Source organism: Homo sapiens, chromosome 3 (genome assembly GCF_000001405.40).
Source record: "Homo sapiens chromosome 3, GRCh38.p14 Primary Assembly".
Lineage (NCBI taxonomy): Eukaryota > Metazoa > Chordata > Mammalia > Primates > Hominidae > Homo > Homo sapiens.
Genome location: NC_000003.12, coordinates 58,606,804 through 58,634,792, shown reverse-complemented (window position 1 = coordinate 58,634,792; position 27,989 = coordinate 58,606,804). Strand labels below are relative to the sequence as shown.

The following is a 27,989-nucleotide window of genomic DNA, read 5'->3' as shown; positions in this document are numbered from 1 at the left end:
AATGGGATGTAAACAGTGCACACTCCCTAGGGCCACTGTGCAGATTAAATACATAAGGCCCTGCAGAACACCACGTGGCATACAGCAAGCGCTCAAGACATGGTCGGAGTCTTCTTTTTATTGTTGCTATCATTATTGTTATTTGAGGTATCCTAGAGGGACACAGAGAATTTGTGGGGAGGGGCCAGATCTCTCCAACAACTGGTTACCCTTCAGGGCGTGAGAGCAGTTAACTGGGCTCTGATCCCATCTCTGAGATCTTGAGCAAGTTGCATCCCCTCTCTGAGCCTCAGTTTCCCCATCTGTGAAGTGGGTTAATAACATCCCACACCCCCATTTAGGTTTAGAGCACAGTGTCCATGTGGGCATGAGTTCTGAACAGCCTCACTCACTGCCTATATTTCTCTGTCTTCTCTCTCTCTAGTTCTTAAAGAACAGCCCAGACACAAACAAATACGAGGGATGGCCAGAGCTGCTGGAGATGGAGGGCTGCATGCCCCCGAAGCCATTTTAGGGTGGCTGTGGCTCTTCCTCAGCCAGGGGCCTGAAGAAGCTCCTGCCTGACTTAGGAGTCAGAGCCCGGCAGGGGCTGAGGAGGAGGAGCAGGGGGTGCTGCGTGGAAGGTGCTGCAGGTCCTTGCACGCTGTGTCGCGCCTCTCCTCCTCGGAAACAGAACCCTCCCACAGCACATCCTACCCGGAAGACCAGCCTCAGAGGGTCCTTCTGGAACCAGCTGTCTGTGGAGAGAATGGGGTGCTTTCGTCAGGGACTGCTGACGGCTGGTCCTGAGGAAGGACAAACTGCCCAGACTTGAGCCCAATTAAATTTTATTTTTGCTGGTTTTGAATGAGCTTTCTGACCACTCCAGTGGCCACGTTTCTCCCTGGGATTGAACTGCTCCAGACTCAGCATGGGCCATGGGTTCAGACAGGTCTGTGACAGCTTCAGGCTCCCCCTTAGGCAGCTGGGAGGGAGCTGTGTTTCTAGGATTTCCCATGGGCCTGAGAGAATCCTCAGTTCCTGCATAACATGTGGGATGGACAGGAACAGAGGGAGCTAGGGACAGGATGCAAGAAATACTGTCATCACCCTCTGTCTGAAGGAGAGCTGGAGCAAGTCCAGAGCAGGAGTGGGAGAGGAGGGGCACATCTGAACCTGGCTGGAAGGAGCCGCCAGGCTGTGCTGCAGGCTTCAGGGAAGGCAGCCGGGCTGTCTCCGCCCCAGGAGCGGACCCTGAGACAAGGACTCAAGGGCAGCCAGTATATTTGGGAGGTGATTGTGGGAAACACCAATAGAGAAGTAGGGAAGTGAGATGGCAAAGGGAAGGAGGGGAAGGCAGCCAGTGAAGGGTATGGTTTCAACCCAGCTACCCCTGTGGGGACTGGAGCTGACTCCCACCCGAAGCTCTAGGAATCGGGGTAGAACATGCACCTTGGAGATACTCCACCCGGGAGTGAGGGAGCTGGGGTATTTACACACCGACTCCCACTAGTGGTTTGTTGAGGGCTTCTGGTGTTGGGGATGATATGAATTCCTAGGTGCTTCTTGTCTGCCCTGCCTAGGGAAGAGTGGCCCTCTGTGGCTTCACAGCAAGCCCCCAGCCAAGAGATGGCAATGCCAGCTGCAATGGCAGGAGCACATTGAAATGGGAAGGCCCAAGGATACGGTGTCAAGACCTGCCTGAGGTTTCTGAGAAGGGCCCAGTTCCCAGGCTCTAGACTAAGTCTTGAAAGGAGGTCGTGGGGGCAGAAAGCATTGCTACTCAGCCTCCTGGAGCATGTGCTGGGGACACTACACCTCATGGAGAAGAAACCCTCTGCCCAAGCACAGATGCCCACCAGTGGTCTGAGACTCACAGCTCCCAAGTCCTGGGGCCAGGGAGCACTTCAAATGTGCCAAGATAGCCTGGGGTAGAGACAATAGTGTGTGTGAACCTTCCACCAGGGGCCACGGCAGGTGGGACACGGGCTACAATTGCAGTGATATCAAAATCAAGGTCCAGGCCAGGTGCGGTGGCTCACGCCTATAACCCCAGCACTTTGGGAGGCCGAGGTGGGCGGATCAACTGAGGCAAGGAGTTTAAGACCAGCCTGGCCGACATATAAAAGTTAGCCAGGTATGGTGGCACTGACCTGTAATCCCAGCTACTTGGGAGGCTGAGGCAGGAGAATCGCTTGAACCTGGGAGGCGGGGATTGCAGTGAGCCGAGATTGCACCACTGCACTCCAGCCTGGGTGACAGAGCGAGACTCCATCTAAAAAAAAAAAAAAAAAATTCAAAGAGCCGGCGGGGAGCCGTGCTCAGGGTTGGCTGAGGAAGTCAGAAGGTGCCCATCCAGACATCCTGTCAATTCTGTCACTCCCTGCCCAACCCACCCCAGCTCACCCTCACGGATGAAAGCGGGAGCATGCTGGCAGGCCTGAATAACCACTTCCAACCACATCAGTAGACTACCTGGAAAAACATCTGCCCAGAAACCTGCTCTGGGAATGAAGGTGGCATGAAATTTTCATGATGACCATAAACACCTTTGAGAGCTCGGAAATTTCACTTTACAACAAGCAGGAGTACCTTGTAAAATTTTTAAAGAACATATAAAGACCTCTAAAATGAGCTCATGAGCAGGGACCAGGGCTAGGCAGAGGGCTCTTGGCAGTGGCCACTATTTTAAGACATGGGGTAGCTGCCTCATTGAAGAGAAGACACATGGACTTTTCCAGAAACTGCACTGCACAACACTTCAAAGAAGACTGAGAACATGTCAACTGGCTCAATCAGAGAATTCAGGGAAGCGTCCCAGGTGCCCTTTCCCAGATTTTGTTACTAATGGTCAGTCTGAACTCTTCTTTGGAGAATTGCCCTTGGGCTACTCATACATTCTTTGAGCACAAGTGCAAAGAAGACAGACCAGGAAGCTGGGGGTGTGTACACCACCCCAGGATGGTCCTTAGCTAATGACTGGCAGGTATGGGAACGTGAAAGGCCAGCTCTTTATTTTGGGGCATGATGACGACCACGAGGTGCAATTTACACTCCAGGATTCCCAGAGGGATCAGGCGGGAACTGGGACTTTGCCTGAAAGTGTCCCTTTGCTTACCTCTTTCCCCTTTCCCATCCTGCTCCTCCACTCCCTTACCAGTGTCCCCAGGGGCCAGTCCTTAACAAATCACCTACACGACAATCCCTATCCCGAAGTGGGATCCTGGGGTACCCATCCTAAGAGAGGTGGTGGGCATGGCCAGCTGGATGGGACTGAGCCTGAGCCTGGGCTGGGAGATAAGACCTCCAGGTCTGCAGGAATTGTTGTCATAAAAGGGATCAGTTCTCAAGGAGAAAGAGCTCAGAGTGGGGGAGCTGCACTTGCCACTGCCATGTGGAGCCCATGGAAGAGGCAACGTGCTGTTCCACACCAGGGAACACAAGGCAAAGATTAGGGATCATGCCCCACTCCAGCTTCCCACTCCTTCCTCAGATGCCCAGAATAAGTCAGAAGATAAGCCCAAGTAGCCATCATTGTACCCCCATAACCCATCAAGGAGACTGCATTCTCGAGCCAGCCACACTAGGCCCCTCTTGGGTGGGTGTTACAAAAGTGGCAAACACCTGTCAGACTCTCAACGTCATTTTCAGGACATTGTGGCCACTATAGGGACCCCCAGGTCAGCTCAAGCTGTAAAGAGTTGGGTCTTTATCGCCAAGATTTTCATCACTCAGCAAACCTGATATGCATCAAGAGTCCGGCAGGCTTGGGGATGCTGCAGTGAAGAAAACCCAGCACCGTTCCCACTCAGTCTAGCAGGGGATACAAATCCAGAGGCGACATGGCTTGGCAAGGGGAAAGACTGCAGGACCGCTGCCCCAGCCTTGGGGGATCCAGGAAGGCATCCTGGAGAAAGCAGCACCCATGCTGAGCCCTCAGGAGTGTGTAGGAGCTCACCAGGCAAAGAAGGGAGGGAAGGGCATGTCAGGCCAGGGAACAGCATGAACAAGGCCTGGAAGGGGCAGAGGATGGGTAACAGGGCTGAGTGGGAGGTCAGAGCCCGAGGGGCCTTGTGAGCTGGGCAGAGGGCTTGGACTTTGTCCCAGGGCAGGGGACACACTGGGAGATTTAAGCTGGGGGCAAGGTGACCAGAGCTGCATGTTTTGAAAATTCCTTGCTGCTGTGGGAAGGAGTGGAGGAAGGGAGGCCAGTGAGGAGGCTGCCATATCATCCAGGAATAGAGGGTGGTGGCCCGGACCAGGGGCCTGTCCCAGGGATCATCAGAAAGTGAAATGGATAAGACTTGGGACACATTTTCTCACTGGGGTCGACAAGCCTTCAGGAATCTCTGCAAGCTAATCGTGGCCTCAGAACTGGGGGCTTGGATTTGCCTCCCCACTCCCTGCCAATGTGCCTCCCACCCATCCCAGGAGTGAGGATGGGGCTGTGAGGGGTGGGGTCGTGGAGAGAGCTTTCCAGAAGCTGTAATTCTTGTCTTCACCAGTAGGTGGCGGCACAAGCTAGAAAGGGAAGGGTGGCAAGGTCTCCCCACACACCCAATTCGGGAAAGGCTGTTGCGCCTAATGAACTCATTATCTGGGACTTCCCAATGGGCACTGGACTTATCTTCGGCCTTGCTGATAGTGTAACAATTGCAGCACCTCACTTCTACAGAGAATTGCAGTTCTCCAGACGTTCTGCTCAGAGCTTTACATGAATTACCTCATTTCATCCTCATAGCCCCCTCGTCCACGGGGTGGGAACCATTGTCATCCTGTTTTACACAGAAGGAAGATGAGGCTCAGAGAGGTCAAGTGACTTGTCCAAAGTCACATAGATAAGGAGTCTCAGAATAAGGGCTGGAATTCCAGTCTGTCCCCAACATTACACGAAACAGATATGTTTGCCCTAAACCTACTCTCAGGTAAACAGAGTTTCTCCCATCCTCCTTCTCCTCCTCTCTTCCCCACTTCCCCTTTTTCTCCTCCCCCTCCTGCCCTGCTCCTGAATGCCTCTGAAGACTTTTGAAGATTGCACAGAACCTCAGAGTTAGCATTCTCAACACCTGCCTTCATTGCTTTGGAAGAGATGGAGAGGAACTGGGTTCAAGGGATTTAGAACTCCTCTTTTTAAAACCCAAAGCCCCCCTCACACTTCGTAAGCCTTACTTCCTTCTATAAGGTTGTGGGTCAAGAAGGAACACATGTTTACTCTCATGTTTTAGATGGAGAAAGAGAGTCTAAGGGATGTGCCCAGCCACAGAGTGAGACAGGGCAAAGATGGATCTAGAACACCTGCTCCTTGGTCCTCCACCACCAGCTGTCACCTCATAAATCATCTGTTCACGTATTCCAAGTACATCCTCTGCGCCAGGCATAGTGCTGGGCTCTGGGGCCTCCACCCCCATTCCTCCTGCCCATGCCATGTGGCCTGAATGTTGCATTTTGGGCCATCATCCTGCCAGGGCCTGGACTTCAGAGCCCAATCACAGGCTCTGTCAACCAGGCTTTCACTGCAGCACTAAGCCACATTTCGGCAGGGCTCCAAACAGATGGAAAACATTAATAAATGCGTAAGAATCATTTTCTTTCCTCCCACCCCACCAAGAGTCAAGCTGGTGGATAATTATGGGATGGTTGCCAAAGGAGTTTGATCTTCCGTGTTGACTTACAGCATTTTTACTGCTCCATCTGAAGGCCAATTTAGTCATTTCCCTTTACAATTTTGTGGACTCTCTCCTTTCTGCAGGAAATCCGAAACTGTAATCAGGCCACGACTGGAACAGGGAGAAAAGGAGTGGGGAGCAGCCGAGGAAGGCAGAGGCTGAACCCAAGGGAAGGGGCGGAAGGAAGAAGCTACATGTTTGCTTGGCTGGAAGGGTCATGGGTATCGGAGGAAATACAGTAACAATAACAACAGTATTAAGCAGTGCCATGAAGCGAGCACTTTCGATGAGTCAGGACTGTGTTAAGCACTCGACCTACTTAGACTATTTCATTTAATCCTCCATCATGGATTCTTCCACTAATATTGCTCTAGACTCGGGGTAAACTGAGGAGCAGGACAGACCAGGCCCTGGTCTTTGTGGAACTGCCATTCCAGAGGAATGGCAGAGGAGACGGACAATAAACACCGAAGTCATATCATTTCAGTTGCTGATGAGTGCTACAACAAAGTAATAAACAGAGAGCCTGGGAACTGCTTTGCACAAGGCAACAGAGAAAGCTTCTCTGAGGAGCCTGAAGGACAAAAAGGATAGAATCAGGCAAAGATCAAAATATGGGCAGTGGAGGGGAAGTGGGGGAGAGAACATTCCACGCAGAGAGAATAGCAAGTGCAAAGGCCCTGAGAAGGGGGGAAAGGTGCTGTGACCCAGAAACTACCAGGGAGAGGGAGGAGAGGGAAATGAGGTCCTAGCAAGACAGTCAATCAGACCTTGCAGACCATGGGGTGTTTGGTTCTGTTGGCAAGGCTGGATCTAGAATGCCTAATTCTTGACCCTCCACCAGCTGCCATTCCGTAAGTCATCTGTGTATGTGTTGCAGGCACCTACTGTGTGCCAGGCATCGTGCTAGAGGAAAGGAAAGGGTGGCAAGGTCTCCCCAACCCCCCCACCTCTTGGGAAACGGTGTTGTGCTTAGTGAACTGGTTATTCGGGACTTTCCACTGGGCAGTGGATATCATTTGTGTTATTAGCAGCATGATAGCAGTGGCACCTAACTTCTCTGAGGAATTGTTGTTCACCAGATGCTCTGCACATCCCCACAGCCCCATGCAGTGGGGGCAACTCTTACCCCACCTTTGGTGAAGTGACAGATAAAACAGAGCAACATGCTCTGATTTATGCTTTCGCAAAACGATGGCTTCAGCTGTACACACACACCTTACCCCATTTAGCTCTGCAGTATGAGTGCTTCACAAACACACACACACACACACACACACACACACACAACATCGTGCCCCCAAGGCCACACAACTATCAGGGACAGAGCTACAGTTCAAGCCCAAGGTCTCTTTAGCCTTAACCTCTGCCACAAGCTGGCATCACGGAGAAGGACAGGGCTGGCAAATGAGGAGGAGAGTGACTGCCGGGGGCACTTTGAGAACTTGGCCCCAGGCCTGGAATCTGGCCTTCAGATATTTTCTTGGCCTGGGCCCAGACCAGCAGCCCTCCAGCCCTTCCAGGCAGCCTGCTGCCCAGTTGAATGAAGGAGTCTGCTCTCAGAGTATCTGCTGTGGGAGAGCCCCGGACCCCAAGCATCTTCAAAGGTCTATTATTAATGGGGCTGTCCAGCTGAAGCTGACATCCGCACGCAGCCCTCCCAGAGCTCTGCACCTCAGCCAGCCCACGGCCTCCACCGTCTGGCCCTGTCGGCTGAGTGGTGCCCAGCAAGGTGAGAAGGCCAAGTCCTGCCCGCTGGGCCAGGCAGAGGTCACCCGCCGCGCCTGAGCTACCGGTGTGTGATGAGAGGACTGCCCCACGTCTTCCCTCATTTCCCAGCTGCCTCAGTTTCCCTTCCTGAGAGAGGCAGGGTTCTGGGAGGTGAGGAGCTGCAGGGACCCAAGAAGGGCATAGAAGCCGCCTGGGGACACTGGCCCCTCTGTCAGGATCAATCGCCCTAAGCCTGTCTGAGGCGCTCCGGGCTTAGGAGCAGCTGTGAAAGCCGCCTTTGTGCCTGGGAGAATGAGCCGCAAGAGGACAGGGGGCCCTCGCCCCGGGAGCCCCTTGGGTCCTGGCTCCTGAGATCAACGCCAGCAGGGAGGACCCCAGCCTGGCCCCTGCAGCCCACCCAGGCCTGGTGCCCACTTCGTGCCATGGGAGCAGCCCAGGGGAAGAAGGTAGGAACCTCTAAGTGTCCTGTTGGGGCCCTGGTCATGGGAAGGGAGACTGGACCTAGCAAGTGGGAGCCCCGACCCACCTACCCTGCAGCTTCAGCCGGCAGTGCCCACCAGCCCTCCCCCTGGAACTCACAGCCAAGACTTGCATCTAGAAAGCAGGCAAGGGCTCAGGGAAGAACCAGTGTCCTATCTCTCCATCTCTAGGACAGACTCGGGGGCAGCCAAATCTCTCTGGCTCCCTGGTCTTAACCACACACATCTCTACTTCCCTGAATAAAAGCTCCCTGGGTACCCCTTCCCCATACCCCAGGAGAGTGTCTGATGCAGGTGGATACAGGGGAAAGATCTTAAAATTATTATTATAAAGTTAGCTAACCAGCTGTTACCAGTTGTAGGGCAATAGGCAAGTTATTTAAGCTTTCTGTACCTTATTTCCTCACCTGTAAAATAGGGCCAATAATAATCACTACCTTGGAAAATCATTGTGAAAATTAAATGAGTGAAAGTGTTTGGAACACTGCCTGGCACTGTGTAGAGGCTTTGCTCCATTATTATTAGAATTCTATTCATGTTATTATCCCTCACCTTCTAAGCCTGAGCTCTCAGCTGGGGGTTTGTAGACAGCATTGCCTGAGAACTGTTTCTGGAAATGTGCTCTGCGGACCCCTGCGTCAGCATCCTGGGGTGGGGAGTAGGAGGGAGCTTGTGAAACAGTCACTTTCTCATGGCCCATCAGACCTCCTGGATCAGCCTCTTAGGGGCAAAGAGGGGCCTGCATTTACTCACCAGCTCTCGGGATTGTCCTACGTGCTCACTGCTCTCCAACCACAACGACCCGGTACTGCCATCCCAGTGGCATAGACAGGCTGCCGTGTCCCAGATCCACCACCCACCTACCGTGGCGATGACCTGAACCCCTCTGGACCTCAGGTTCTTGTTTATAAAGGGGGGCTGGTACCTGCTTCGTGGGAAGTTCAACAAGATGATGCCTGTGAAGTGCTCAGTGTGCTACCCCAAGCCCAGAGGCTCCCCGATAAACATGGGACTCTGATCCTCAGACAACCAGTGATGACCTGTTCCATCAAGGTTGAGAAACTCAAGGAAGAAGTAATTTCTTAGCCAGGGTCATGCAGCTAGTGGGGGAAAGAGCAGGGTACTGCTATTGTTGTTAATTTGGAAAGAGGAGCTTTATTTCTCATAAAGGGTTGCAGCCTGCAGGGTGGCCATTCCGAGAGGCTGGGAAGCATGGCCTCTGGCCAGAATCCAGAAACTGACACTTTGAGGAAGAGGCAAAGGGAGTAGAAATTTATGCTGAGCAGCATGGCCAAATATACATATTCAATAAGCTGTGGGAGGGGTCATGAATATTTATGAAAGGAGAAACATCTACATGCACAGTTGAGCTTCATGCCTCTTACAGGCCCCAGGTACAAAAAAATGTTGGCCTTAGTGTGATCTGAGGGTGGAGTTTTCAGCCCTCTGATGTCAAAGGTGAAGCAGGGAGCACGAAAACCCTCACTGTGCATCCTCTGCAGACTGGCTAGAACCGCTCCATGATTGGTGATCTCTTATCAAGAAAGAATGCTGGTTGGTTTTTGTGTTAAAACCACAAAAGGGAGGGGCAGTTGGTTGAAATCAGCATGGAGTCTTTTGAAAAGGCCTGTTTCTGTTTAGCTCTTAGGGAATTAGGATAACGGAGGTTATCAAGGGATGGCACACTACGGGGCACGTGCGACCTCCCATCCCGTCATGGCCAGAAACCCGGTTTTCAAGATTTCTCTGGGGTCTCCTTGGCCAAGAGGGGGTCCGTTCAGTCACTTGCCAGAGTGGAGGGGTGGGGTTTGTTTAAAGTTTTATTTTTATTTCTCATTTTTATTGGGTAGGATTTTGACCCCATTCTGCTTGACTCCAAACAACCCAGCCCATCCCACCCTTCCTGGTCCATAGCTCTGTCCACAGCATCTTCCTCAGCCCCACCCCAACCTCCCACAGAAGGCTGTTGATCAGGCAGGCACCTGCTGCCCTATGCCAGGGCCTATGTGGAGCTGGAGCCAAGGGTGAGGAGACACAGCCCCTGCCCTTGAGGCCGTCCCTGTCAGTTGCAGAGACTAATAGGCAGGCAAAAAATAGTTGGTAGTATGTGTGAAAGTTGAAGCAGAGGTGACTGGGCACATGACCCCTGGGCCAGGAGTCAAAACACAGCGTTGTTGCTTCTATTCCTCTTAGGCAAGGTCTGGACTTTGCTTTTAGGTGAACTCACCTTTGTCCCCTGGGGAATGTCAGGGGCATAGGCTTTGCCTAGAATCCTAAACCCACACTGGCAGGGGATGGAAGGGATCACGTGGTTGGTTAAGGCCAACCAGAGCCCACCCTTGGAGCCACAGATCTGTCTCCCAATGGCATGGCTGTTACTCAATGGAAGGGAGAGTGCTGGACATTTCATTGTAATGGCCCCCCAGGAGGAGAGACAGCGTTCTCTCCAGCTGTGGGGTGGGCAGAGAGAATGGAAGAACACTGAAAGGGTCGAGGGTGTGACAGATAGACCACTGGGCCAGGAGTCAAAACACAGACATTGTTGTTTCTGTTCTTCTTAGGCAGGGCCTGAACTTCCCTTGGACTTGGCATTTTTTTAAATCTGCCCCTATCAAGGGCACCAAGGTGGGTACCCTGGCCTCTATCAGGGTTTTTGCAAGAAGATATTTTAACACACAGAAGCAATCCCTCTAACACTGTTTGGAACATTCCAGAAACTTCAACATTTGACCCACTGGGCATGCATTGATGCCAGAGAGGTGAGTTCAACCCAGATGTCTGGATGGGAGCCACGTTTTAAGCCCTTGCATTACACAGCAAGGCCACAGGTCCTGCGGCAGCAGTGGGTTCAAGAAAAGCACCTTCCATGGGCCTCAGACACCAGCCAGTTCATAGACACCAACAGAGTGTGGGCACGCCGTCCTCCACCCCAATCAGCAGTGGCCAGTGCCCTCGCCCAGGATAGAGGACACAACCACAAGCTTCCAGAGGCTGCCCTGCACAAGTCCAGCTCCCCAGGCTGTGACCGTAATGCCACCCTTAAAGGGGCTGCTAAATGGAAAATGTTCCTGAGCACAGCTCGCATGCACTGCCGCTTCTGCACCAATTCGCTCATTTAGTCTTCAAACAGCTCTTGGACATGGAGAGTTTTATCACCCAGAAATCCAGAGACGTGGAGAGGTTAAGCAAGAGGCTCAGGGTCACCCAGCTAGTAAGGGTGGAGTTAACATTTGACCCAGGCTGCCCTAAGAGCCTGGCCTCTCAAACAGCAAACCCCACTGCCGGCGCTTCTGAAGGTGGAAACACAACAGTGCTCACATCCCACCTGGAGCCCCTGTCGGGGCATCTCATTTAACCCCTCTGAGCCTCAGTTTCCTCAGCTGTCAAGCAGCATGATGATTTACCTTCCACAGCAGGCTGGGGCGAGGTGCCCAGCACTCAGTGGGTGCTCAGGGAATGGCACGTGGTCCTGTTGCTGCTGCTCTAGAGGCTGCAGGTGGAGCTTCTGCAGGGCAGGAGGCGGCAGCATAGCCCCCTGGAGGTTTGGACACTTGGCTTTCGTTCTGTAAAACATTTCTCCAAACCCAACACCACCCAGGTTTTTTGTGGCCCTGAAAGAGTCCTGTCCTCTGACCCTGTTGTTTACCAAGACACTCATCGCTTTGCATTCACCTTCATTAAGAGAAAGTTGCCTTGACTGAAACAAAAGGGGAAAAAAATAGAAGCACTATGGCTAAATTTGATGAATGGCCTGAAAGGGTGTGTTCATTCTATCAGAGCCCAGAAGGTACACATCTGGCTGGGCCCTGCTGGCTCCCTGAACAATTTTCCCTGCCGATGATGGATGGGCCTGCCTGGTGCTCAGGGCCGCCAAGCCCAGCAGAGGATTCCAGCTCATTGCGCCCAGCTCAGTGACGTGTGAGGACCTCATCAGGAGGCGCTCACAGCATGCCATCCCATCACCCTGACTCTGCCCACCGCCTCAGACGGCTTCTCTGAGGAGAAAGGGGCCTTGCACCTCACTTCTGGGTGCCATTGGGACTCCACAGCTGGGTTCCCAAAGGACTCCTGTGCCCAGAGTGGGAGGCTCAAGGACAAGAGGAGAAATGTGTCAGGAGCTCATGGGGGTGAGGAAAAAATATCCCCCCCAACAAAGGCAGAGCCCCCCTCCTGCCCAGCAGCCTCCCCACTGGGCCCTGGTCTCTGGGATCATTCCAGCCTCTCCACCTTTTCTCACTCCATTTGCCTGCCTGTATTGCCCTCCTGATTTCTATCCACCGCCAACACTTCTCTGCATTCCAGCCGCAGGGCTTGCCCCACCTGCTCTTGTAAGTTTCTGACAGCATGTGAATTGAATTCCAATTGCACTGACAGATATTCCATCCCAAGGTGTGAGGGAAGATGACGGAAAGGAAGAAGGGGAATGTCAATTGTCGAGCTCCAACCCCACCAGCAGCCACTATGCTAAATGCTTTCTTTTGGGGGGGGCATAGGGGTAGTACAGAGTCTCGCCCTGTCACCCAGGTTGGTGTGCAGTGGCACAATCTCAGCTCACAACAACCCCCACCTCCCAGATTAAAGTGATTCTCCTGCCTCAGTCTCCCAAGTAACTAAGATTACAGGTGTGCATCACCACGCCCAGCTAATTTTTTTGTATTTTTAGTAGAGATGGGGTTTTGTCATGTTGGCCAGGCTGGTCTCGAACTCCTGACCTCAAGTGATCCACCCACCTCAGCCTCCCAAAGTGCTGGGATTACAGGTGTGAGCCCAGCCCTAAATGCTTTTTCATGCTGTCCCTCCAGCACATCCACAGCCCAGCAAAGTAGAGGCTGCTGTACCCACTTCTTGGGTGGGAACCACTCAAAGCTGCTCTGCCCTTCATGCCAATTCCAGTCATTACTTGCCTGGGCCTCAGTGCAATTCCCAAGACCTCTCCCCCACCTGACACTGAGCTAGGCATGTAATTCTCACAAATGCCCCATGAAAGGGCTAATATTCTCATGCCCATTTCACAGGTCAAGACACTGAGGCTCAGAGGTCACCAGTAAGGAAGTGGCAGGGCTAGTGTTGCACTGAGCTGTGCCTAGCCAGGCAGCACTCTCTTGGGCAGGCCAGGCACATTGCATCCTGAGCTCAAGTTCTCCCCACCACCCTGCAACCCCCGTTATGCAGATGTTTGGAAAGCATCCAGACTCAGGGAGAAGAGGCCTGGGGCCAAGTGGAGCCTCTAGCACTCACTCTCTGGGTGATGTTTAAGCTTTGCTTTCCTCATCCCTAAAATGGGGATAAAAATAGCACCCACTTTAGTATTATCAGTGTGAGAACTAAATGAGAAAGTTCTTGAAGTGCCTGGATGCATGCTTGCCCTTGGGTCTCAGTGTCCCCATCTGGGAACAGAGAGGTTTGCATTAAATGATTCCCAGTGCCCTCCCCAACCATGGTAAAAATGAGCTTGTCACTTTGTCCATAGCAAGTCTCAGTGCAAAATGAAAATGTGGGGTCCCTTGTTCAAAAATCATTAAGAATCTCAAGACAGCAACAGCAGAGCATTAAACCAAGCACAGGGCCCTTCTGAGCTCAGAGCCCTGTGCAGCTGCACAGGTCACAACCCCAGAAAGCTGGCCCCAGTCCTTAGTGCCAGCCAAGGTGACATCTGTGCATGGGAGGCCACATTCCTGAGGGCTCTGGTCAGGCGCAAACACGTATGCTGGGGTTGTGAGCATGGTTTCCCAAGCGCTAAAATTTGTCATTTAGTTCCGGGCTCCCCTTTTACTCTATCTATTTACCCGCTAGATTTGAAAGTCCCTGAATGATTTCCTCCCCAGCCTCAGCAAACTGGTAAATATACTGTCCTCCCCTTCCCTGGGAACCATGCCGCCACCTCCTTCACTCCCACCTTCAGAATGGCCTGGGCTGAAACTCCTGAAAAAGTTAGAGTTGACATTTCTCCCCTGGGGAAGTCCAGGGGCAGAAGGTGAGTGTAGAGGAGGAGTGGGGACTAGACTGGCTGCAGCCAAAAAGGGCATTTGAAGACAGGCAGAGTGACCTTTGGAGGCAGGAAAGGGCACAGTTTTCCTGCTCTCCAAGGCCTCCTAATGGGGCTTTTATTTCCATCTGTCCTTGGCCTTCCCCAAGCTGGGTTCAAGGTTTGAATGCCCAGGGCTGCTTCAAACAGGTGTACAGGTTGGGCACTGCACAAAGGCAACAAGAGAACGGGTTAGTGGGACATCCGGCCCACCCTCTACCAGTGGAGCCATGTGCCCAGGTGCTGGCTGGGTCTCCCCAGGAGGAGTGCTGCTCCGTCATTCCACAGCGTCATCCCTCACAGCCCTGGAACCGCCTCTTCCAAGACTAAAACTTTCCCCATCCTGTCTTATGGCTGGAAGCCCAGCTTAGGAGGGAGAAGGAATCAAAGGAGAAAGAAAGGAAAAAAGATACCGGCTCAGCCGAGACTTCTTCCACGAAGCCTTCCCTGAGTGGATCTCAAATATCTATATGGGGTGAGGGGCTTAGATAAGTGGACAAGAACAGGGCAAGCTTGTCTCAGAACCGCATGTGCATTACCAGGCCTACAGGTTTTGCCAAGCCTGTAGGATTACCAGGGGTGGCTGGGAAGGTCAGAGAGATTAGAAGGGGGTCAAGTTCCTCAGGGACCCCATGACACCATCACTCTCCCCACTTCCCCGGACTAGGGCAAACCCCATCACACTCACAGAGCTCTCTGGTCTCTCCTCCACGCTGACCACTCTGTGATTTCATGTATAGTTCTGTGATTTATCCATGAGGGAAGGGAGGCCGTTTGATTTTTGGTTTACCATTGTGACATAGAAGGTGCTCCATTAATTAATTAAGGAAGGGAGGGCAGGAGAGAGGGAGGCTGATTTCCCAAAAGCTACCCTGAGTTGAAGGCCAACCTTATGGAAGGATCCATGCAGAACTTCAGGCTGGGGGGAAGGGACATAGACTGAATCCCTCAGTTTCCCCCACATGTCCCTCCTTCCCCTCCAATGTCTCTAAGGCTCTGATCCAAATTCTCACATTCCCCACCCTGCCTCCACCTCCCCACCACACACACATACACACATTTACACACACTTTCCACCTGCACAACTTCCTGGCCAAATGCAAAATCCCTCATGGCTTGTTCATCATTTATTCAACAAATGTTGACTGGGCATAGGGACCCAGGCACTGGAGATAGATGAGTGAATGGCACTTAGGCTCACCCTTGGGGTGCACAGCCCCATGGGAGAGAAATAAGCCATCCCCAGGGACAGAGCAGGTGCTGGGTACTATGATGAGGGAAGCAGATAGGACCTGGGGCACTGAAGGGGGACCCACGAGGCCGAGAGGTAAAAGACGAAGAAGGATTAATCAGGTCAGGAGGCGGGGAGAGGTTTCCAGCAGGCAACAGCATCTGCCAAGGCCTGGAGGTATGAGAGGCTGCGGCATGTCCCAGGAACTGAAAGAACTTCTTGGTTTTCCAGCCCTCTTCAGCCTCGTAGGGGCCCCCAGATTCCTGGTTCTGGGGTTAGGGACTGCCACAGATTTGGTTCGGTGGCACCTTAACTTCTCCCACCTATCCTGCACTTACCCTGCCATGCCATCCTCTCCTCTCAAAAAACAGCTATGTAAAGTTCTGGTACAGTGGCTCACGGCCTGTAATCCCAACAGTTTGGGAGGCCAAGGAGGGAGGATCACTTGAGCCCAGGAATTCAGGACCAGCCTGGGCAAAATAGTGAGACCCATCACTACAAAAAAAGAAAAATTAATTAGCTGGGCATGGTGGTGCACATGTAGTCCCAGCTACTCAGGAGGCTGAAGCAGGAGGATTCCTTGAGCCCAGGAGGTCAAGGCTGCAGTGAGCCATGGTAGCACCACTGCACTCCATCCTGGGTGACAGAATAAGATCTTGTCTCAAGGAAAAAAAAATCACAACTATGTTTCTGCCTCAGACTCTTTGATCAAGGAGAACATTCTTTTTTTCTCTCTTCTTTCTTTTGCTCACTATTCAAAATAGAGATAAGAGAGAAAGACAGAGACACAGAGACAAAGACACAAGAGGCAAAACACAAAGAGAAAATCCCCCAGAAACAGAATTGAAGAAACCCCAAACCTGTCCCCCTGACTTCACCCCCTGCCCCAACACCACCCTCCAGGTGCCCACCAGGGCCCTTCTTCACTCCCAGATGTTCTAAGACCTCAAGAGAGGAAGAGGTCACAGGGGGCCCAAGATGGGCACCTTCCCCCCATCCTCGGGCCTTGGGGCCAAATCTCATTTCCAAGGCAGTAGAGAGAAGGAAATTATTTTAATTCTTTTTAAATCCACTTTAATCTTAGTCCACCTCCTCCTAATCCAATCTTCCTCGTTCACGAATAAGAATAAAATATTCGCCTCAGAGGCCCTGAATGAGGGACCCTGGGCAAGATGGCCTCCCTCTCTGGGCTCCCACTCTGGGCTCCATGTCAAAGCAGAGAAGGTAGCTGTGCTGCCCACTGGTTTAGGGTAAAGTGAGGCAGGAGAGAAAAAGAGAGGGCAGCAACAGTCATTCTTCGGAGGGCCAATTCTACCCCAGGTGCAGAGCCAGGGCCTCATGTGTGCAGCATCACTGGCTTCTCTGAGCAGCCTGGCATGGGTAGTTTTCCCCATTTCACAGCCATGAAGGGCTCAGACAAGATAACACTGTGCAAAAGCAGGCTAGTGTTCAGATTCCTCCACATGCACCAAAAGCCAAGGCCTTACAGAAACCTTGCACAACACAGCCAACCTGGGCCTACCCCCCTTGAGCCTCACTCAGTCCTTCTCATCTGCAAAATGGGCACTTCCTGAAGATAAATAAGAATGCCTTCTAATAATTGAACTTCCATGGAATCCTCACCACAAACCCAGCCACAAAGGTATCGATGTCCCCATTTCACCAAAGCAGACGCTCGACTCAAAGAGGTTGAGTTCACGTCTCAAGATCACAGAGCCAACAAGTGCCAGAGCTGGGACTTGAACTTGGATACTTCTGGCTCCACAGCCCACGTTCTCATGGACTTGTTTTTCAAGCGTCAGGATTGAAGCTGTTCATCTTGTTTTTCAAGCATCAGGACTGAAGCTGTTCATGTCAAGCCAGAATAAATCTTCACCTTGTGCAAGGCAGAGTTAATAGTAGGTAGTGGCTCCACTCCCCTGGGAGTAGCACTGAAGAGGGGCCTAAAGTTCAGGAGAATTTAATTTCTATCTTGAAAGGGTTTGGAGGTGGTGCAAGAGGGGCCAAATCAAAAGCCGGTTTTCTCGCAGGCAGAAACCCAAAAACGCAGCTCCCTCCCTGGGCCCCAGGGATCGGCTTTCAGAACACTGTGTCTCCCAAACTAACATAAACAAGGGGCTTTGTGTAAGTAAGAGATCAGATCTCAGGGCCTGGGGCGGAGAGAAAGGCGAGGAGCTGGAACTTTCTTTTTCATCTAAAATCTAAGATGACAGAGGCTGCCACAGGGAAGCTGGAAGAGCCTGGCTTGGTCTAGGTGACATCCGGCTCCTCAGGAAGCTCAGGACGGGGCCTGAGGTGTCCCATAGGGATGATGTCACACCTAGAACCTGCAGGAGCTCAGCCAGAAATGGGGCAGTGTCTGTCCTTTTGAGGGACCATCCGGGGATTTTTCTCCACCCACCTGAGCTCTGGGAACAGGTAGGGGTCATTCTGAGTTGTATGATGTGGTGCACGTTCAGGAAGAGGCCTGCCATTGAGACCTGCAGGCCCTGAACCGGCCAGCGTCTGTGAAGGTCCCATGCTGACTCTGCCATCACAAGCAGGCACTGTGAAGTGACACAGGAGTTTCCTGGGGCGGCCATAACAAACGATCAGAAACTGGGTAGCCGAGGCCAGGCGCGGTGGCTCACGCCTGTAATCCCAGCACTTTGGGAGGCCGAGGCAGGCGGATCACAAGGTCAAGAGATTGAGACCATCCTGGCTAACACAGTGAAACCCCGTCTCTACAAAAATACAAAAAGTTAGCTGGATGTGGTGGCGTGTGCCTGTAGTCCCAGCTATTCGGGAGGCTGAGGCAGGAGAATCACTTGAACCCGGGAGGCGGAGCTTGCAGTGAGCCGAGATCGTGCCACTGCACTCCAGCCTGGGTGACAGAGCAAGACTCTGTCTAAAAAAAAAAGAAACTGGGGAGCCGAAAACAACAGTTTATTCTCGCACAGTTCTGGAGGCTAGAAGCTGAAATCAGGGTGTCGGCAGGGAGTGCTCCTCAGAAGGCTCTCAGAGGATCTGTTCCATGCCCTTCTCTTAGCTTTTGGTGGTGCCTGCAATCCGTGGTGTTCTGCCCTTGTCATCACGTGGTGGTGGTGGTGATGGTGGTGGTGGTGGTAGTGGTGGTGTGTGTGTGTGTGTGTGTGTGTGTGTGTGTGTGTGTGTGTTCTCCTCTTATAAGGACACCAGTCAGATTCAATTAGGGCCTACCCTAATGACCTCATCTTAACTTGACTACATCTGCTTTCCAAATCTACATTTGGAAATAAAGTCACATTCACAGGTAGGAGCTAGGACCTCAACATTCCTTTTGGGGGATACAATTCAACCCACAACAATAACGCCTGGCCCCCTGGACCTCTGTACTTGGTGGACATTCTTCTCGGGCACCTGAAGTTCTACATTCCTCTGGCTGAGACCCATCCATCCTCTGCCAGCTGCTCTCCTGGGGCCTCAAGTCCAATGTAGCTCCTGTCCAGCTGCAGTGCGTTCCCATATGGCAAAGCCAGAATGAGCTACTTTAATTCTGAATCTGATCCCCTCTTCTCTCCGGTAAAACCCTTCAAGAGCTGTTACAAGGAACACCACAGGCCCTGGCTGATCGTGCTCTGGGCTCCCTACTCCATACACACTGGGCTCCACAGGTATCTCTGACAGCCCAATCTCTTCCCCACCTCAGAGCTTTTGTCTCCACTGTTCCCTCCACCTGTGCACCTTTCCCTAGGTCTCCTCATGATTGACTCCTTCTGGTTTCAGCTCAGAGACAAGTCCTTTTTTTTTTTTTTTTTTTTTTTTGAGACAGGGTCTGGCTCTGTCACCCAGGCTGGAGTGGTGCAGTGGCAAAATCTTGGCTCATTGCAACCTCTGCCTTTAGGGCTCAAGTGATCCTCCTACCTCAGCCTCCTGAGTAGCTGGGATTACAGGCACACACCACCATGCCCAGCTAATTTTTGTAATTTTTGTAGAGACAGTGTCTCACCATGTTGCCCAGGCTGGTCTCCAACTTCTGGGCTCAAGGAATCCACACACCTCAGCCTCCCAAAGTGCTGGGATTACAGGCATAAGGCACTGCGCCTGGCATTCTCTATCTTCCCTCCAGCTAAAATCCCCCCATCTTGGTCCCAAGTCCTGCAGTTCCTTCACAGAGCTTACCACCATCTGAAATTACCTTCTTTGGTTATTTAACTGTCTCAAATCTAGCTTTCCCCATCAGCATGTTGTCTCTGTAAGGGCACAAGAAAATCTTTAGATCCAAATGACAATGAAAATACTATATATTGAAACTTGGAGGAAGCAACTAAAATGGTCCTTAAGAAGAAGGTTATAGTTTTAAATGCACATTGAAAAGAAGACTGAGACTTACTGAGCTAAATGTCAAAGTTACAAAGTTGGTAAAAGAACAACAGAAACAATCCAAAGAATGTAAAAGTCATGAAAAAATTAAAATAAGAACCAAAATTAAAGAATAAAAATACATGATATTGAAGATGGCCAAAAGTTGGTTCCTTTAAAAACGTAATAGAGAATGATGTAGTTGGCTTTAAGAAACATCTAGAAAATATTGTTGAACAAAAATCCTATTGGCTTGGGCCAGACGTGGTGGCTCACGCCTGTAATCTCAGCACTTTGGGAGGGCAAGGTGGGCAGATCACTTGAGGTCAGGAGCTCAAAACCAGCCTGGCCAACATAGTGAAACCCCATCTCTACTAAAAATACAAAAATCAGCCAGATGTGGTAGTGTGCACCTGTAATCCCAGCTACTCAGGAGGCTGAGGTGGTAGAATCACTTGAACCCGGGAGGCGGAGGTTGCAGTGAGCCAAGATCGTGCCATTGCACTCCACCAGCCTGGGCAACAGAGTGAGTTAATAACAGTTAAAGAAATTGAATCGTCCTGGTGCGGTGGCTCACACCTGTAATCCCAGCACTTTGGGAGGCCAAGGTGGGTGGATCACTTGACGTCAGGAGTTCAAGACCAGCCTGGCCAACATGGCAAAACCCTGTCTCTACTAAAAATACAAAAATTAGCCAGGCATGGTGGCAGGCACCTGTAATCCCAGATACTTGGGAGGCTGAGGCAAGAGAATCGCTTGAACCCAGGAGGCGGAGTTTGCAGTGAGCCGAGATCACGCCATCACACTCTAGCCTGAGCGAGAAGAGCAAAACTGCATCTCAAAAAAAAAAAAAAAGAAAGAAAGAAAGATAAGAAATTGAATCATGAGTTACTATCAGAACAGCAGTTTTATAGGTGAGTTCTTTTAAACTTTAGAGAAATTCATCAGTTTGGGTTCAGGCAGAGTCTTCTAGACAATAGAAAATGAGGGAACACTTCCTGCTTCATTTTATAATAATAATAACTGCTATCAAAATTAAACAAGGACAATGAAAGAAAAGTAAATTACAGGCCAATTCACTCATGACATAGAAGCAAAAAACAAAAAACAAAAAAACCCTAAGCAGGAATCCAAAATTCCACAGCCAGGACCTGGCGGCACAGAAATTCTTTTTAGCCACATCCCACTGACACCTCCTCTCTGTAAGTCTGGCCTGGGACAGCATGGCTAATGGGCTCAACCCTGAAATGGCTACGGGCTCTCTTTCCTCTGGAGCCAGAGCCAGGCCAGAGTCAGTGGAAAGTTTCAGCGGCAGTTTTTCCAGGGATCTCCCATCCAGGCTCAGCCAGGTGAATACTAGAGAGAGACTGACTTCCCCTAGTGACTGATGCTGATCCGGTCCAGCCCACTGGCACTTCCCAGGTACAGCAGGCTGCAGGGAGTTGTGGCACCTGCAGGAGCCAGAGCCAGAAGGCTGTCTGAGGCAGATGTAACGTATAGACCTTGGACAGGCCGTAAGGGCTGGACTTCCGCCTTCTGCCTCCTGCCCATCAGTCTCCACCATCCCAGGGCAAGGACTTGGCAGCTGTGGTAAGCTGAGCACTTGGGAGGGTTGAGCCTCCCCAAGACTCACCTCTCCCTGGGAGATATGGCCCTAGGGTACCCAATCCTAGGGAGGGGAATATCAGGGAAGGCTTCCTGGAGGAGGTGCCATCTAAGCAGAGTCCTGAAGGAAGAAGCCAGGCAAAAAGAGGGCAACAGTGTTCTAGGTAGAAAGATCTGCTTACACAAAGGCCAGAGGAGAGAGGCCTTGCTGGCACTCAGGGCACTGAGAGCAAGTTGGTCAGGCCAGAGCAGCAGGCAGGGGCTGGGCAGGGCAGGATGAGGGGTGAGTACTGTAAGAGAGAGGACACAGGGGCCAGAGGTTGATGAAGTCAGAGGAACCAGGCCAAGGATCTTGGCACGGGAGGGCTGAGGTCAGCTCACTAGAGTCAGCTCTAGCACAGCATGAGAAGCCTGGGCAGTGAAGTCAGACAACCCACAGTTTGACTCCTGCTCCCCATCTCACTAGCTCTGTAACCTTGGCCACCTCCTTGATCTCTCAGCCTCAGTTTCCTCATCTATAAAATAGATCAGTAATAGAATCTACTGAGCACAGTCCTTGACACATAGTGTGAGCTCAACAAATGGCTGCTATTTTTGTCGGTGTTACCTGACAAAACAGGCAGTTGGCTCCCTTGGGCTAGATTTCAGGGCAGAGTCACGGCTGGCGATATGGAGCTGCCGACCATCATCACCTTCCAGAGAGGTGGTGACTGAAGCCCCATTGGAGGAGGTAACGGGAAGGACAGCAGTAGAAACTGTTCCCTGTGCGCCGTCAATTCCTGCAGCGTGGGAGTGGAGAGTCAACTAGAGTTGCTCCTAGAAAGGAAGAGACCCACATGGCTGCTGGCACAATAAAAATAAACATGACTCCAAACTGTGCATAAAGATGACTGATAACAGGCAAGGGGGCGGTGATGAGAGGTGATTTGATTTTTTCTCTTTATTTTCCAATACTTTCCACAATAACTTTATTTTTATTATTTTAAAAAGTGAACTTAGCTCTTTTTTAACTAAGTGAACTTAGTCATTTTTCAAACTTTTCTCATTTCTTTATTTCTCAAATAATACATTATTATTGTAGAAAAATCAGCAAGTATAACCACTGTGACACTGTGGCATGAGTCTGTGCAGATTTTCACCCCTCCATCTGGTTACCTGGGTCCTTTTTTTTTTTTCAGGGTCTCTCTCTCTCTCTGTCACCCAGGCTGGAGTGCAGTGGTGTGATCACGGCTCACTTCAGCCTCGACCTCCCTGGCTCAAGTGATCCTCCCACCTCAGCCTCCCAAGTAGCTAATACTATAGGTATGTGCCTCCAGGCCTGGCTAATTTTTCTATATTTTGTAGAGACGAGTTATCACGATGTTGCCTAGGCTCGTCTCCAACTCCTGAGCACAAGTGATCTGCCCCCCTCAGCCTCCCAAAATGCTGGGATTAGAAGTGTGAGCCACTGCACCCAGCCCAAGACATTTTTCATGGGTACATAGCATTCCACTGATACCAACATGCCACAGTTTTTTTGACCAATCCCTGATTTTTGGATATTTAGGTTGTTTTCATTCCTTCACATCTTAGTAGATATATTTTGGTGCGCATCCTTTATTCTTTCTTTGGGATAGATTTTACTTTTAGGATCATGGGTGGGTTTCTATGAAGTTGGATGCAAAATGCTATGTGTATGTGAGGACATGTAGACTTTCCAAAGAGAGAGAGAACATGGCCTTGTCAGATCCTTAAGGTAGCTGGTTTCCCAGAGTTAAGAACCTACTGCTATGAAAAAAAGAAGAAGAAAAAAAACCACAATCTGCAGTGTGTGACTCATCTCCTCCCTGTCTTCATTCTCACCCAGAGCAGTTTGGCAACAAACAATTTCATTTCAAAAAATAATTTACCATTTAGTTAGTAATTACTATGTGCAGAACTCTATCCAAATACTTTACGTGCACCATCCTACAACAACCCCGTGAAGTCGGCACTACTGTTATCCCCATTTTACGGAAGAGAAACAGCTCAGAGAAGTCAGGTGCCTTGTGAAGGCCACACAGCAGGTCAATGGGGAACCCAGGAATCAGACCCAGGCAGCCGTCCCAGAACTCTTTCTCTCTCTGAGCCACCCACTTGCCCAGGTGTCACTGCCCAGTGCAGTGGGTGGGGTTCCCAGAACCCAGGAAGCAATCCCTGAAGCAGCATTTCCCCACCTGCTCTCAACCAAGTTGTCAAGGCTCCCTGGGCTGAGTTTCCATCAGGGACCTGCCCATAAACAGATGATGCGGAACATCAAGAGTATCTGCCTGATTGGAGGAGCCATCCAGGTTGGGCAAACATCACACTGGCTGGACTGATCCTGCTGAAGCCACACCAGTGACACCCCCACCTGTTCATAATGACACCCTCTCTGGGAATACAGGGCCAGTTGTCAAGATTCTGCTGATCTTAGACTGGGAGTGGGGAGTGAAGGGGATGGAGCTGGTGTTGGGGGCCCCTGGCAGGGCCTCCTTGCACATTGGAGCTTGTATTAGTTCATTCTCATGCTGCTATGAAGAGATACCAGAGACTGGGAAATTTATAAAGAAAAGAGGTTTAATTGACTCACAGTTCCATATGGCTGGGGAGGCCTCAGGAAACTTACAGTCATGGCAGAAGGCAAAGGGAAAGAAAGGCACTTTCTTCACAAGGTGACATGGAGGAGAAGTGCTGAGCAAAGGGAGAAAAGTCCCTAATAAAACCCTCAGATCTCGTGAGAACTCACTCACTATCATGAGAACAGCATAGGGGTAACAGCCCCCATGATCCAATCAACTCCTGCCAGGTCCCTTTCCATGTGGATTATGGGAACTACAATTCAAGATGAGATTTGGGTGGGGACATAGCCAAATCACATCAGGGCTTATGTCTGCAGCAGCCCAGACCAGAGGCAGCATTATCTGGTGTGAAGCAGCCAAGTCAAATGCCAGAAGAGTGGCTAGAGTTTCCTTGAGGTTAACCAGCCACTGCTTCAACCAGCCACTGCTTCACCCATCCACTCAGGTGGAAGAGGGTGGCCCTTGGAAATTTGAGAATTCCTCTGGGAATATCAGTGATAAAGCTTTTAACAGATGGATTTATTGAGCACTTACTATACACCACCTATGCAAGCAGCTTCAGTTATCTCATTTCATCTTCTCAGCAACACTTTTGTTATCCCCATTTCTCCCATGAGAAACTTAGGCATGGAGAAGTTAAGAGGGTGACAGAGCTAGGAAGTGTCAGGGTAGAGATCTATACCAAGGCAGAGCCCACAGCCTTCTCTTTCTATCCCTCAGCAAATCCAGGATACTCAGGGTCAAGTTCCAAATTTGGACTCTACCACTGACAGCGAGCTTCTCAGGGGCAGGGCCTTCGTCATCCCTGCAGGCTCAGCCTCATGGATGGGGGTAAGGGGTCCGGCATGAGACAAACCTGGGATGCCACTTGCCAGCCGTGTGGCCTTGGGAGAGTTACTTACCATCTCTGAGCCTCAGTTTCCTCATCTATGAAAGGCAACCCCCATTTAGTAACCCCCATTTAGTCTGGTGGTTGTACGCGGGTAATGAGATGACTCAGCATGATGCCTGGCCTATGGTGCTGTATCTGGTAGATGGAAGTGGTTGTCATTGGTGCTGTTGTCATTTCTATCCTGCACGTAATTCAGCTGCTGTCTCCTCAGGTCCATTACAAATCAGTCTCCAGAAGGGAATGGCCTCACACGGCCTATCTGCAACTAGTAATGATCATGATGTGCTGGCCATCTTGTCAGTAATGTGCACTTCCTGCACACTGTATGCCAAGTGCCATTCTAAGCACTTTACATATTAACCAGCCAAGAAATAACCCCAGAAGAGAACAGCTGCCTCCTGCCCCGACCCTCTAGGGAGGAGACAGGGGTCAAGAAGCCATGCCTAGGCCAACCCATGTGTACAAGACCTGCTGTAGGAAGAGGTCACAGATGGCCTCATGGGGGGATTCTGGGCCCCGACTTTGGTCCCATATCCATGTGAGGAACCCAAAAAATGACTTTCCCTCCTCCACGACCCCCTAGGTGGCTCTGAGGACTCAGCGAAGTCATTGCCAGAGGTCTTGAAAAACAAAAAGCGGCTGTAGGAGATGTTGGGGGAAACCTTCCTCCATGCCACCCTAGGGCCTAGGGCAGTGCTCACAGTGTTTGTTGACTGACTAATATTTGTTGACTGTAAGTGATGGTTCCATTTTTAGAGCATAGCAGCTCAGGCACTAAGCTGTACCAGCCATTTTTTCATATGTGTATAAGAAGAAGACTAGAAAAATAAATACCAAACATTAATGCTAATTATCTTAATTGAGGAAGGGGCAATGGGGTGAGGAGGGGAGATATCATGGTCACTTTTGTATTTTTTTCCACTTTCTACATTGTCTACAGTGAGCATTGCCTACATTGTCTACAATTAATTTTATAGTCAGTAGAAAACAAACATTTCTGTAAATTTATGATTTACCTCATTTTACAGAAAAAGAAATGAAGGCCCAGACACGTTACGCCATTTGCCCAAGACCACACAGCCAGAAGAGAGTGGCTGGGATGGACCTATACCTGCCATCTCTTCACCTGCATCTGCTGGGAACCCCATCCCTCAGCACTGGGGCCATTTCCAGCTCCTGCATCATGGGGCCTCCTTGTCCCCTTTCCCATGACCAGGCCCTGAAAATGCTCCCACCCCAATCCTGCCAGCTCCCCCAACTCCTGAGAAAGTCCCCTCTGAGAGCCAAGAGTCCCTGCAGATCTCAGGAAGGTGTCCAGGGGAAAGAGATGCATGCAAAGCCCCATTCCAGCTCTGCCAACTCACTGCTTATTCATTAATAAAAGAATGCCCAGGCTATTTTGGGCACCTGTAATTTTCTACTTGAATAACCAGGAAAGTGGCTGCCTGCCCGCTCCTCTGCCCTGCTTATGGCACCAGAACAGGGGAAACGCGATCTTGCCTGGCGTAATGGGATCTGGGCGAGGTCTCACTGCTGATTTCCTTGCCTTTGCCTCATTCCAGAAAGCCCAGGTGTCCCCCATGCCACCTCCAAGGGGGTCTGGGGAAGGAGAATCCAGGCCAAGTTTGGATGTTGTGGACTAGGTGGTTTCTTCCAGCTCCAGAAGGCAAATCCCAGCTCTGCCACTTGCCAGCTGTGGGACTTTGGCCCCAGCTTCTCTATCTGTAAAATGGGGATAACTATACCACCTTGCAGGTTTGGTCCAGGGGAGCTGCCTGGCTCTTAGGGTAATTGTTGCTGTTGCTGTTATTGTTATTCCATAGATAAGGAAGGAGTTGTTCTGGGAAAAGATCTGGCCTAGGAGGCTTAGGATCTCTCATTTGGCTCTACTGCTGACTAGCTATGTGACCTTAGACAAGCCCATTTCCTTCTTATTTTAAGCAAAATTGTTCTTTCTGTTTATCAAGGTAATTCATGATCATTATTGAAAATTTAGAAAAATGAATGACGAAAATTAAAAATCAGGGTAACTCTTAACTACTATTTATTGAGCACCTACTCTGTGCCAGGCCCCATGTTAGGTGCTTTCTATTTATTATCTCTAATTCTCCCAAGTCTGCACCCATTTGTAGATGAGAAAACTGGAGCTCAGTGTGGTGATGTGACTCATGCAAGGTCACACAACTGGTAAGTAGAGCAGAAATCACACCCAAGTCTTTCATTCTTCAAAGTCTGTTGGTTTGGTTTTCTATTGCTGCGTAACAAGTGACCACAAAATCAGTGGCTGAAAACCACACACATATCACAGTTTCCCTTGGCAGGAGTCTGGGCACCGCTTACCTGGTCCTCTTCTCAGACTCTCACAAGCTGCAGTCAAGGCATGAGTTGAACTGTGTTCTCATTCAGAGGCTCGACTGAGAAAGAGTTCACTTCCGTGCTCATTCAGGCTGTTGGCAGAATTTATTTCCTTGCAGTTGTAGAACAGAAGGCCCCAGAGGTTTGCTGCTTGCTTGTTGGAGGCTGCCCTCAGGTCCTAAGAGGCCACCCAGTTTCTTGAGGCTGCCCGCAGCTCCTTGCCATGGGGGCACCTTACCTAGCTGCTAACTTCATTGAGCCAGCAAGGAGAATCTCTTGTTAGTGTATGCTAGCAGGACAGAGTCACATGTACATGCACACGTATACACACATACATGCACACGTATACACACATACATGCACATATACAAATCCATCTAGCATGATCATGGGAGTGACACACCCTCACCTTTGCCATATTCTATTGTTAAAATAGCTCCCACCCACCCTCTACTCTGGAGAGGTAGAGGACCACACCAAAGGGTCAGCACAGGGGTGAGAGTCATGGAGGCCACCTAGGGGTCTGTCTCCCACACCCACACTCTTCCCACCACAGCCAGCTCCCCTTTCCTCAACAACATCCTCACCCTCACCCTCCAGGAGAAAACTCCACTCTAGGTTGGCAACTGCAAAGTTAGCTCCATGTTACAAACATCGTGGCATATCCTGGACCAAGGAAATGGAGCCTCATGGAACACTGGCTCAAGACATTTGACCCCCAACCCTTGCTACCATGCTGTGTAAAAACCAGAGAGGGAATAGAAATGGACAGGACATAGTGCCCAATCTCAGAAAACTTACCAGGAGGCTGGAAAGATGCCACAGTCAAGTGTTCTTTTGGTTGCAGGAGCCCTGGGTTAAGGGGGAAGAAAAGACAATTTTTTGGCTCTTGTACGTGAAAGTCTAGGAGTAATGACATCAAGCAAGGCTGGATCCTGTGTCTTAAATGAAGTCTTCAGGACCTAGTCCCTCTCTCAGGGCTCTACTTTTCTCTGGTTGACCTCATTCCTGGGCCAGTCCCCCTTCATGGAAACTCCCAGCAGCTACAAGATTATCTCATTCTTAAACTACAAGAGTGTGAAGGCTGGAGGGAGAAATAGGTATTGGGGGTGGGGGTTGGTCTGTTG

General features: G+C 50.8%; 2 protein-coding genes and 1 long non-coding RNA gene across 21 annotated transcripts in view, besides 3 other annotated features; 2 read left to right on the top strand and 1 right to left on the bottom strand.

Moving 5' to 3' along the window:
* Nucleotides 1–847, top strand: part of FAM3D (FAM3 metabolism regulating signaling molecule D) — a 32,829-nt gene extending 31,982 nt beyond the window's left edge. For all 19 annotated transcript variants that reach the window (XM_006712967.4, XM_011533352.3, XM_005264863.5 and 16 more), the window contains one exon: nucleotides 425–847. In XM_006712967.4, coding sequence (XP_006713030.1) covers nucleotides 425–514 — 90 coding nt within the window. In that variant the 3' untranslated portion in view covers nucleotides 515–847. The remainder of the gene's footprint in view (nucleotides 1–424) is intronic.
* FAM3D-AS1 (FAM3D antisense RNA 1) lies at nucleotides 353–27,713 on the bottom strand. The gene is made up of 4 exons (NR_134853.1): nucleotides 27,664–27,713; nucleotides 26,848–27,111; nucleotides 2,133–2,254; nucleotides 353–737 (listed from the first exon to the last, which is right to left on the bottom strand). It is a non-coding gene; the product is annotated as an FAM3D antisense RNA 1 (long non-coding RNA).
* Nucleotides 5,434–5,935: an enhancer, noted in NCBI's record as "H3K27ac hESC enhancer chr3:58614585-58615086 (GRCh37/hg19 assembly coordinates)". NCBI's record gives its function as "activates a minimal SCP1, AML or CMV promoter by ChIP-STARR-seq in naive H9 embryonic stem cells {active_cell/tissue: H9 hESC(naive)}" and the evidence as "EXISTENCE:reporter gene assay evidence [ECO:0000049][PMID:30033119]".
* Nucleotides 7,183–27,989, top strand: part of FAM107A (family with sequence similarity 107 member A) — a 63,494-nt gene continuing 42,687 nt past the window's right edge. The window contains exon 1 of the mRNA NM_001282714.2: nucleotides 7,183–7,822. Within this exon, the coding sequence (NP_001269643.1) occupies nucleotides 7,799–7,822 (24 nt within the window). The 5' untranslated portion in view covers nucleotides 7,183–7,798. The remainder of the gene's footprint in view (nucleotides 7,823–27,989) is intronic.
* Nucleotides 17,371–17,576: a silencer, noted in NCBI's record as "fragment chr3:58602944-58603149 (GRCh37/hg19 assembly coordinates)". NCBI's record gives its function as "represses an EF-1alpha promoter that drives an FKBP-Casp9 reporter gene in an ReSE screen in K562 erythroleukemia cells {active_cell/tissue: K562}" and the evidence as "EXISTENCE:reporter gene assay evidence [ECO:0000049][PMID:32094911]".
* Nucleotides 24,420–24,579: an enhancer, noted in NCBI's record as "active region_20013". NCBI's record gives its function as "activates an Ori minimal core promoter by ATAC-STARR-seq in GM12878 lymphoblastoid cells {active_cell/tissue: GM12878}" and the evidence as "EXISTENCE:reporter gene assay evidence [ECO:0000049][PMID:35858748]".